At 36.5% G+C, this 12,209-nt stretch overlaps 1 protein-coding gene across 2 annotated transcripts in view; it reads right to left on the bottom strand.

Annotated features, from left to right (window-relative positions):
* Positions 1 to 12,209, bottom strand: part of GALNT13 (polypeptide N-acetylgalactosaminyltransferase 13) — a 1,388,282-nt gene that overhangs the window by 1,108,389 nt on the left and 267,684 nt on the right. The window contains exons 6-7 of one of the 2 annotated variants that reach the window (NM_001422882.1): positions 11,126 to 11,179; positions 10,406 to 10,481 (exon numbers count right to left, since the gene is read on the bottom strand). The exons of the other annotated variant lie outside the window; for it this stretch is intronic. The gene's annotated coding sequence lies outside the window, so the exon portion shown is untranslated. The remainder of the gene's footprint in view (positions 1 to 10,405; positions 10,482 to 11,125; positions 11,180 to 12,209) is intronic. 2 annotated transcript variants of the gene reach the window in all.

Here is a 12,209-nt window from a genome sequence, read left to right as displayed (position 1 = left end):
GATGAAATTTGAACACAGGCATAATAGGGAAATTTGTTATTAAATTATAAAAGCAAAGTAAGCTGCAGCTAGGAGTCAGCCTCCACTCCAAACAGAGGACACCCCCCTCTCCAAATTCTCAGGGAGGTTGACCATTACACTCTAGGGTGGCCACTGTCTGTGACCAAGAATCACATGGTCAAGACTGAGCACTGCTTCAGAAAAACCTAATTAACAAGCTAGGCAGGAAAGTTTCCAGGTCACCAAAAAGGAAACCTTTTTTAAAGCAATAAAAATGATGCATTAACACTACTCATTTTACATGCTTTCACATAGATAATAATATGCAGGCAAAATCATTTGATTGAAAGCATAATGATTACTAAGAGTAAAACCCTGAAATAGCATAGATTGCCTAAAAGGTGGGTGCTAGACTTTCCACCCAGCATTAGACCATATGATTCTTCCTGTCTTAGTAAAAGCCTTCTTTTCACTAAGTAGTTTTTGATACCTAATGAACATGTATGACTCCTATTTCCTCTACTAAATTACCATGACTTCTAGTATACTAGGCTTTGGCATCCTACCTAACTGTGATGGATTCCAAACTCTGTTGTTAGTACTCAAGTGCTATATGCCTTCATGGTATATGGCTTTATGTAATTTCATCAACTTCAGTTTTTTTAAACGAACTCCTCTGAAGGCACAGCTCAGAAGAGGATCCTGTGTTTGGGTTTTAATGTCTTACAGTTGCTGTCTTGAAATTCATTATAAACTTATCTTTGGATTTGTGACTTAAGTGAAGTCTGATAAGACAATGGCATGTGCACCAAAGACTTGGAGCCTCAGTGCAGGTATAGTCCTACCTCCCACAATCTCCACACATCCCTAGAACTGATTCTCAGCTGCCTGATCCCTCTTCCTCTGCCACCCACATCTCACCTAGGTTTTCCCTCCTATCCCTGCCTTGTGACCACTGCTATCTTCTGCCCCTGGAGAAGCTTGGGCAGGCTAAGGCCAGGTTGGGCTTTTATGCCCAATGCAATAAGCTTCAGGGCAGGGCTCTAGGTTCTGGGCACCTGTTAGAGTATACATGTATCACTTGAGTATCCTTATGCCCAAGCCAGGACAATATTCAACAGCAAATAAAACCGCTATGACAACTTGAGAGAAAGACACTGATAAAGAAAAGGAAAAGCTTTTGTTCTGATTTTTGAGCAAGGGGGTCCACGGTTTTTATCTTGCACGTGGTCCCACAAATTATGTAGCCAGCCCTATTGGTATGATCTTATACAAATTATGAAATATTTATAAGCCTCAGTTCCCTCATCTGGAAAATGGGAATTATAATGACACCTATGATATAGAATTACAATGGGAATTCAATTTTTAAAAAATGCATATAAACGGTTTAACATAGAACCTGGTACACTGTAGAGGACTGAAAACATTTATTATTCATTTCAAAAGTTATGAAATAAATAAGAACATGCTTTGATTTCATATACTTATGTAGACAACAGAGAAGAAACTTGTAATTTAGTGTATCTCAGGAAATCCAGGGTCTATATTAAGAACACTTTGGATCATAATTTCTCAAAGTTAAACATACCAAATTAAAATGCATGTTTTCAGGTAAGGCCTTGGCATGTAAAGAAAAACCAAGAGAATCTTTCATTAAAAAAAATAAATTATAAAATGTTGAAAACATCCACATGGAGAGAACTTTTGGCACAGTCTATGGATTTAGGGTATTCGACCTCAAAGGACTGTCAGTGCAGCCCTTGGTTACAATGACCACTCCATTATCTATGATTAGAAGACACCAAGGAAGGTGTTCCAGCCTGTACTGTAACTAGTCTCTAAAAGCAATTTGTACAGAGAAAATGAACAGTGGAGGAGAGGATAAAGAAAAAGAAGGCTATAGAAGATTTGGTAATTTCCATGTAGAAAAGCAAAGTGTTAACTTTAAAGTTTTGTAGGAGGCTGGGCATTATGATTCATGCTGTAATCTCAGCACTTTGGGAGGCTGCGAGAGCAAATCGCTGGAGCTTCGGAGTTCAAGACCAAGCTGGGCAACATGGCAAAACCCATCTCTACAAAAAATTAAAATTAAAATAAAAAAATTAGCCTGGCTTGGGGAGGTGGAGGTTGCAGTGAGCCGAGATCGCGCCACTGCACTCCAGCCTGGGCGACAGAGCAAGACTCCGTCTCAAAAAACAAACATACAAACAAACAAACAAATTAGCTGGGCTTCATGGCGCATGCCTGTAGTCCCAGCTACTCAGGAGGCTGAGGTGACAGAATCACCTGAGCCCAGGAAGTCGAAACTGCAGTGAGCTGTGATTGTGCCGCTGCACTCCAGCCTGGGCCACAAGGCAAAACCCTGTCAGAAAGGAAAGAAAGAGAGAAAGAAAGAGAGAAAGAGAGAAAGAAGGAAGGAAGGAAGGAAGGAAGGAAGGAAGGAAGGAAGGAAGGAAGGAAGGACAGAAAGAGAGAAAGAGAAAGAAAGAAAGAAAGAAAGAAAGAAAGAAAGAAAGAAAGAAAGAAAGAAAGAAAGAAAGAAAGAAAAAGAAAGGAAAAGAAAAGAAAAGAAAAGAAATGGGAGGGCACGTGGGGGTTGGGGGCAGGGTGTGGAATTAATCTGGTAAGTCTAAGTATGCCCCCTACTGAATCTCAGAAGTCATTTCATACTCTATCTCATCCTGAGTATTTCCTTATTTAAAACAAAATTCTCCTTTGCCCCTCAGGAGAACACATTATTCTCTTCAGAGGCATTCAGAATAAACCAGACCCTCAGGCAAGACATTCTCCTGCAGCAAAATCAGGGCAACCAACTGGTTCCTGGAGTTCTAGGTTCTCCCTGCTTCTTGGTCAGCTGCCCCTTAAGGATACTCTACAGGCAAACTCAACATGCAACTAAAGTTGACTCCTTTTTCATTCTCATTCCCACTGTTGCTAGACTACAATAGTCAGAAGATGGAATCAACTATTTCATAATCTCAATTTATACATGAAGCTCATAAAAAATACCTAGTGTGAAAAAAGCAAGAAAAACAGAATGAAAGGACTTTGCCCTAGAACACATTTGAGATAAAGAAGAATAAACGTAATATTCAGAAATTATTTTCCCTGAAGTCAAATTAATGTCTTATTGAAATTCATATCTCCTAGTTTGATGCTTTCAGATGTATTGATTTTACTTTTGTTATATTTCTGTGTTCTGCCTACTAATTGTAAACACATATCTCTCTTTTAGATTTTTAAGGTCTTGAAATACAAGTATCATTTTTCTTCTCCAGCGTTATTGAGATATGCTTGAGAAATTCAAATTGTATACATTTAATGTGTATAACTTGATGCTTTGATACATGCATACATAGTGAAATGACTATCACAATTGAGCTAATTAATATATCCATCACCTCATACTGTTACCATGTTTTGTGTATGGTAAGAACACTTAAGATATACTCTCTTAGCAAATTTCAAGTATATAATACACTATTATTATCTATAGTCACATGATGTACATTTGATCTTCATAGCTTATCCATCCTGTATAATTATAACTTTTCTACTGTACTGTGTTCTTTGCAGTAACACATTGCTTTCTATAATCACAAAAAAAGCTGGGGAATGCTTATATAATCACGCCACTGCACACCAGCCTGGTGACAGAATGAGGCTCCGTCTCAAAAAAACAACAACAGCAACAACAACAACCCCAGCATCACTTCTGTGATATTCCTGCCAGAAATACATAACCTGAATCTATTTGTGAGGAAACATTAGACAAACATAAACTGAAGAACATTCTCCAAAATTACTGGTCTGTATTCTTCAAAACTTTCAAGATCATGAATGTTATGGGAAGACTGAAGACTAAGAGGGAATGACAAGTGAATTCAGTGTGTGCTTCTGACTGACATCCTTTCGCTTTTACAAAGGACATTATTGAGACAAATGGTGGAACTTGTCTAATCTACAATATGTATCTATACTCTAATGAGGGTAGTAATGTATCTATAAATTTTTGATTATGATTATGTTGGAAAATATCCTTTTGAGAGAAATAAATACTAAAATATTTGGGAGTGATGGGCATCATGTTGGCAAATTACTCTCAAATGTTTCAGGGAAAAAAAAAGAAATTATAGTATAGACATATGATGGAATACTGTGCCTCAGGAAAAGCAGGGGGAGTTCTGAGGAAATATAATGACATAAGATAATACTTTTATATATGTTAAGTGAAAAAGGTTGGATAGAGAATTATATTTGAACTAACTTATACATTGTTCTTTTAACAATCCTAGGTTTAATTTTGTAGATGCAGGGTGTTTAGTGTTAGGGATACAAAGAGGAATGAGACATGATTTCTTAGATTTCACTTAGAAATCTTATTGGGAGGGGTGGACAAACCTTTAAATAGATTTTATAATAAGATGAGTTAAGTAAGTGGGGAAAATATGGATATCATGGGAGAGGAAGCTGGCCTAGTCAGGATAAGCAGGATAGGAAGGCTCCCCAGAGGAAATGTGATGTCCATTATTTTAAAAATATGGAAATGTTATGCAAGAATGAGCTAAATATCCAATCTGTTAGAGGCTATTTTTATGTGTGGAATTCTAAGTATTTTTTACTTTTTATTTTATCTATTTTCTAAGTTTTTAACAATAAACATATTTTTTATAAGCAGAAAAATAACTTCTTGAAGATTTATAACAAATTATTATTTAGGATTTATCTAATGTGCATGGTAAGTTGGTTAGTATGCAGAACACTGAGATAAAACTCTTCTTGATTTTAAAAAACATAGTAATTTTTAAATAACATAATAGCTATTAATTTTTATCACCTTCTTCCATTGTTCAATAATATTTTAGTTAAGAATGTTTTATAAACCTCACCTCTCTGACTGTATCTCATCTTGGTAGATATATGGTAATACAGAAAAGCACTAGCTCACAACATAATGGGTCTTATTTGGATGCCTTATAATCACGCATGGCCATTTTTCCTGTAATCATAGTTATGGTGCACCAGCAGGCAACTAAGTAGTCTAACAAGACCTAAAGTCATTCAGTCATTCATCACTTATATTCAACAAATATTGTAGTGACAAACGTTACACATTTTGGAAGGAAACTTTTCATGGAGTTATGTGATCATAGACTACATAGCATGTAGATTTTACTTGCCTTTCTTATTGGTTCTCTTTTTATTTAGTCTTTCCCTCTTTTGCCTTTTCCTTGACACATGTGTAAGGCTAATTTTCATAGTTATTAAACCACAAATTACCAAGAAATCATGTTTAAAATATTTACAGTCTTCTATGTGTAATGGTGATGTGCAAGTTCAAGGTAATGGAGTGACCTGCGTTATTTGTGAAATCAAAAATGACAGAGGCACACTAAGACCTTAAGCAAAAACCAGGGTGAGCATGAAGATGAGACATCTATAATGCTGTCAGTTTAAAAGCAACTAAATCAGAAGATGGAGGGAAGAGGAGCAGGAAGAGGAGGGAGAAAATTGGAAACTTTAATTTCAACTCCAGTCATTTCTTTACCACCTGTAATGAGTCTGACTCATCCCCCATATCTTTGTAACGTGTTTGATAAAGTCAAATTGTAATGTGTTTGATAAAGTCAAATAGCTCCTTTAAAGAAAATATAATTCCATTTAATTAAGAAGACCTATTTTAATAGCTAGCACTTTGATTCATGTGGTGCTCACAGCTCCCAACATATTGAACACCACTGCTCATTAGGAAACTCTTTAAAAAGTCATTTAGTGCAGACAGTGTCTTCTGCTTAGCAAATGCAAACCTATAATTCAGGCTCAACATAATTATAATATTATTCACAAACTCAAAAAAAATTGTAAACATCCAAAAAAGTTAAGCTTATATGTGTAAGATCACTGGACACAGACCAGAAGAGATATTTTAAATAGACAACAGTCGCCATTTTCATGTGCCTTGCTTTTATTAGGAATGTATGCACTGGCAAGAACCTAGCATTATCTAGAGGCAATAAGTCAAAGCTTCACTGTGTCTGCTCCTGCAAATGGCTTTAGGTTTAAACATTTATTTTATTGATAAAAACAAAAGTCTAAACTCCAGAAGTCTAAATTAAATTTAATGACATATCCTCTTTGCTGAGCCTTTGTCTTACCCAGACAGGTTAAAGTTTAAGGGGAATGATTTGATCTCATTACCTGGCTGCTGCTGGCTGCTGGTGGTTATCACAGATGGTGAGGGTGTTTTTATCACAGAGCCCTGCAACCTGAGACCCTGAACAAAGTGCTCCCCACCACCCCACCCAGCCTCCAGGTGGTCATTTTGGGTAATTAATACCCTGGGGAAAGTTCAGCTCCTAAAAAATATAATAGCCTGGTAAGCCTGCCAAGGAAGTGGCCCTTTCCATAACAATTATATTTTTTACCTTTTTCCTGTCAGTATTATAGCACAGTAGGCAAGAGATTTGTTTTCTAACAGAGGGGCCAATTAGAAGGTGAGTATTCTGTGCAGTTTTTCCTACTGGTAATGCTGACAAAACCCAGGTATTCTTTATTGAGAGCGTTCAATTTTGTTTATCACTTACCACTTTGTGGATTTCCCTGAGAACGGCTTATGCACTTTAAGTGCCTAATTTGCACCATACGCAAAAGCTAGCAAGGCTAATCATTGATATGCTGTAAGAAGGAGAATTTGCTTAGTACTTAACAAACAGACTATAATAGATTCTCTAGTTGCAAAGAGCTAATTGTATCAGGGACACCATTTCCAAATTAGAAAGCCATTATTTTTGAATCCCAATTTGGCATAATATATTAGCCACTGAAGTGTCTTATGAGATGTGAGTAAGGCATATTAGGCATTTGTGAAGGGCTGTTAGCTAGACCTTTCAGAATGAACCATCCTATGGCAATAACTCCCATTTATTAAGCACTCACTACTCCTAGCAAATATTATATAATCTTTATAGAAAACCCATGCAATACTTATTATTATCCTTAACTTTGTAAAGAAAGAAATGGAAGATTAAATAATTTGCACAAATTTACAAAGTTGGGTGTGGAATGTGATTAAACTCAGGTAATTTCAATAAAATTTTTCTTCCTTTACTAAACTGGTGGTTCTTAAATTTTAGCATGCATGACAGTCACATAGAGGGCTTATTAAGACACAGATTTCTGAATCAGACCTCAGAGCTTACGATTCAGTAGGTCTGGGCTAGAACCCAAGAATTTGCATTTCTAACTAGTCATACCTGGATGATGCTGATGTTGCTGATTGGGAACCACACTTTGAGATCCAGTGTTCTCTATCATGCTGCCTCTCCTAAAAAGTACATTGAATTCAGGGAAATTGGCTAATAGATGTCAAAGTTAAAAAGCATTTGAAAAAATTTAACATCTTCCTGTGATAAAAACTCTCAACAAACTAGATCTCAATGTTCATATTCAATGGTAAAATCTGAAAACTTTTCCTCTAAGTTCAGGGACAAAACTAGTATGCCAACTCTCACCACTTTTTTTTTTTTCTGAGATGGAGTCTTGCTCTGTTGCCCAGGCTGGAGTGCGTTGGTGCAATCTCGGCTCACTGCAATCTCTGCCTCCTGGGTTCAAGCAATTCTCCTGCCTCGGCCTCCTGAGTAGCTGGGATTACAGGCACACACCAATGCACTCAGCTAATTTTTGTACTTTTGGTAAAGAAGGGGTTTCATCATGTTGGCCAGGCTGGCCTCGAACTCCTGACCTTGTGATCCACCTACCTCAGCCTCCCAAAGTGCTGGGATTACAGGCGTGAGCCACCTTGCCCGGCCAACTCTCACCACTTCTATTTAATATAGTACTAGAAGTCCTATCCAGAGAAATTAGGCTAAATAAATAAATAAATAAAGATACAAAAGGCTTGTGAATCAGAAAAAAAGAAAATGAAGAAGATACAAATAAATAGAAAGACACCTTGTGTTCATGGATTAGAAGAATTAATATTGTAAAAATGTTTATACTACCCAAAGTAATTTCTACCAAAAGCAATCCCTACCAAATCGCAATGACCTTTTTCACAGATACAGAAAAAAATCCTAAAATTTGTATAAAACTACAAAGGACCCAAAATAGCTAAAGCAATCTTAAGCAGGAAGAACAAAGCTGCAGACACCATACATCCTCTTTCAAATTATATTATAAAGCTACAATAATAAAGACAGTGTGTTACAGGCATAAAAACAGGCATATAGAACAATGAAACGGAACAAAGAGCCCAGAAATAAATATACACATTTATGGTTAACAGATCTTTCACAAGGATACAAGAACATAAAATGGGGAAAGAATAGTCTCTTCAATAACTGGTACTGGAAAAGCTGGATATTTACGTGCAAAAAATAAAATTAGACCCTTATTTTACAATGTATTAAAAAATAACTAAAAATGGATTAAAGACTTAACCATAAGACCTGAAACTATAAAACCACACAGGCAAAAAGCTTCTTGACATTGAGTTAGGCAATGAATTTTTTGGATATTACCTCAAAAGCATAGGCAACTAACACAAAAATAAACAAATGGATTGCATTAAACTAAAACACCTCTATACAGCAATGAAAACAATCAACGGAGTAAAAAGACAACTTACAGAATAGGAGAATATATTTGTAAACCACACATCTGACACACAGTTAATATCCAAAATATTTAAGTAACTCAAGCAATTCAATAGTAAGAAAACAAATAACTCAATTTAAAAATTAGCAGACATGAATAGATATTTCTCCAAAGAAGACACACAAATGGCCAACAATTATAAGAAAAAAGGCCAGCATCAGTAATCATCAGGTAAATTCAGATTAAAACCACATTGAGATATTGTCTCATTTTGTTAGAACGGCTATTATCAAAAAGGTAAATGATAAGTGTTGGCAAGAATGTGAAGAAAAGGGAACCCTTGTACACTGCTGATGGGAATGTAAATTAGCACAGCCATTGTGGAAAACAGGTTGGAAGTTCTTCAAAACATTAAAACTAGAACTACACAACCCACCAATCCCATTACTGGATATATATCCAAAGGATCTGAAATCAGTATGTCCAAGACATATCTGCATTCTCATGCTTATTACAGCATTATTCAACACAGCCAAGATACGGAATCAACCTAAGTGTCCATCAACAGATGAATAAAGAAAATGTGGTATATATACAGAGTGGAATAGTATCCAGCCTTAAAAAATGAAATTCTGTCATTTGGAGTTCACGTGGATGAACTTGGAAGACATTATGTTAAGCAAAATAAGCCAGGCACAGAAAGACAGATATCGCATCATTTTACTTATTTGTGGAATCTAGGAAAGTCAACTTATAGAAACAGAGAGTAAAATAAAATGATAATTACCAGAGGCCAAGGGCGAGGGGCAGGATTAAGGAGATGTTGGTCAAAGGACAAAACATTTCAATTACACAAGAGAAATAAGTTCAAGAGCTCTATTGTACATTGTGGTGACTGTAGTTAATAACAATATATCATAAACTTGAAAATTGCTAAGAGAGTAGATTTCAAGTGTTCTTCCAACCACAAAAAAATTATAAATATGTGAGGTAATGCATATGTTAAGTAGCCTGATTTAGCTATTCCACAATGTCTGTTTATATCAAAACATCATATTGTACACCATAAGTATATATCATTTCTAATTGTCAATTAAAATTAAAATAATTGCAGACTTTTAAAAAAATTTCAAAATGCGAAAAATGTGTGAATTCTGAATTTCCACCTACTAAGTTTTAATCCCAGTTTTATCACTTATTAGTTGTATAATCATCAATTAATAAATTTTACTGTTTTATTTTTGTTTTATCTTTTAATTTATATTTTTATATTTTTGTTTTTTCATATATGTTTAGAAACAGGGTCTTGCTCTGTCACCTAGGCTGGAGTGCAGTAACAGGATCATAGCTCACTGCAGCCTCAATCTTCTGGGCTCAGTTGATCCTCCCTCCTCATCCTCCAGAGTAGCTAGGACTACCACTGTTTGCCACCATGACTGGCTAATTTTTTTTATTGTTTGTAGAGATGGGGGCCTCAATAAATTGCCCAGGGTGGTCTTGAACTCCTGACCTGAAGTGATCCTCCCAAAGTACTGAGATCATAGGAAGAAATAGTAAATATGTCAGAATTGTTTTGATAATGATTATACGGTATGATCCATTTGAAATATCACAGTTGCTGTTCTATAATAATAAGTACTTTATAATGGTCAGCCATTATTAATATTATGCATGAAGTTTATCTGTATTTTGTATTATTTAGACTACTTTAATTATTTTATTAGATTAGAATCCCAAAGAACATCCATATTTGAGGTCTCTGACTATTATTAATAAATTGCTTTCCAACTAGGTTAGATCAACTTACATTGCAGCAGCTCTTTCTGCTCAGTCCTGAGGAGGTGTGGGTCACAATGGACAGGGCTGGACCAGGTCTCCCATCGCTGTGAATTTTTATTTTGTAAAATTAAGAATAGGGAATTATAGACTGCATCAATTGATTATCTCACTATGCCTTAATTATAATTAGTGTCAAATAAATACTTTTATAGTTTACTGTCATACCAAAGTCTGAGAAACAATGCCAACATTCATTGCACTTGCTGAGAAATAAAAAACAGTAGGATGAGGATTATTGTCAATTCTTAAATATCCTGTATTTAACAGATTCTGAGTGTTATAGATTTTACATAATTTTTTCCTTGCATTTTCTGTCTTACTGATTTTTCTGCTTTACACCAAATATTATTTATTATGATCATTAGTGAAAGGAAAGGAAATTTACTTTTCCCAAAGCAATTTTAAAAAATGTTTAGTACAGGAGTAGGCAGCTGGAAAAGAATGAGCAATGGTAGATTTGCTAGTTCTTAAGATTCCCACTGATTCTAAGTAAACTATAAATTTCAAGAAATTCTGTTTCTTAGGCTATTTGTAAATTATGATATCTCAAATAAGCCTACCTTGTCTCAATCAAAAATTCTTATTCCTATCCACATATTTCAAATACTTGCTGTATTAGTCCATTTTTCACGCTGCTGATAAAGACATACCCAAGACTGGAAAGAAAAAGAGGTTTAATTGCACTTACAGTTCCACATGGCTGGGGAGGCCTCAGAATCATGGTAGGAGGCAAACGGCACTTCTTACATGGTGGCAAGAAAAAAATGAGAAAGAAACAAAAGTGGAAACCCCTGATAAACCCATCAGATCTCATGAGACTTAATTGCTATCACAAGAATAGCACGGGAAAGTCTGGCCTTATTCAATTGCCTCCCCCTGGGTCCCTCCCACAATACATGGGAATTCTGGGAGACACAATTCAAGCTGAGATTTGGATGGGGACACAGCCAAACCATTTCATTCTACCCCTAGCCCCTCCAAATCTCATGTTCTCGCATTTTTAAAACCAATCATGCCTTCCCAATGGTCCCCCAAAGTCTTAACTCATTTCAGCATTAACTCAAAAGTCCACAGTCCAAAGTCTCATTTGAGACAAGGCAAGTCTCTTCTGTCTAGGAGCCTGTAAAATCAAAAGCAAGCTAGTTACTTCCTAGATACAATAAGAGTACAGATATTAGGTAAATACAGAAGTTCCAAATGGGAGAAATTGTCCAAAACAAAGGGGTTACAGGGCCCATGCAAGTCCAAAATCCAAGGGGGCAGTCAAATTTTAAAGCTCCAAAATGATCTCATTCAACTCCAGGTCTCACATCCAGGTCATGCTGATGCAAGAGGTGGGTTTCCATGGTCTTGGGCAGCTACGTCCCTGTGGCTTTGCAGGGTACAGCCTCCCTCCTGGCTGCTTTCATGGGCTAACATTGAGCATCTGCAGCTTTTCCAGGTGCAAAGTGCAAGCTGTTGGTAGATCTACCATTTTGGGGTCTGGAGGACGATGGCCCTCTTCCCACAGCTCCACTAGGCAGTGCCCCAATAAGGACTCTGTGTGGAGGATCATACCCCACATTTCCCTTCTGCACTGTCCTAGCAGAGGTTCCCCAGGAGCATCCCGCCCCTGCAGCAAACTTTTGCCTGGGCATCCAGGCATTATCATACATCTTCTGAAATCTAGGTGGATGTTCCCAAACCTCAATTCTTGATGTCTGTCCATCTGCAGGCTCAAGACCATATGGAAGATGCCAAGGCTTGGGGCTTCCACTCTCTGAAGCCATAGC

Source organism: Homo sapiens, chromosome 2 (genome assembly GCF_000001405.40).
Source record: "Homo sapiens chromosome 2, GRCh38.p14 Primary Assembly".
In the NCBI taxonomy this organism is placed as follows: domain Eukaryota; kingdom Metazoa; phylum Chordata; class Mammalia; order Primates; family Hominidae; genus Homo; species Homo sapiens.
This window is presented reverse-complemented; position numbering and strand designations above follow the sequence as displayed.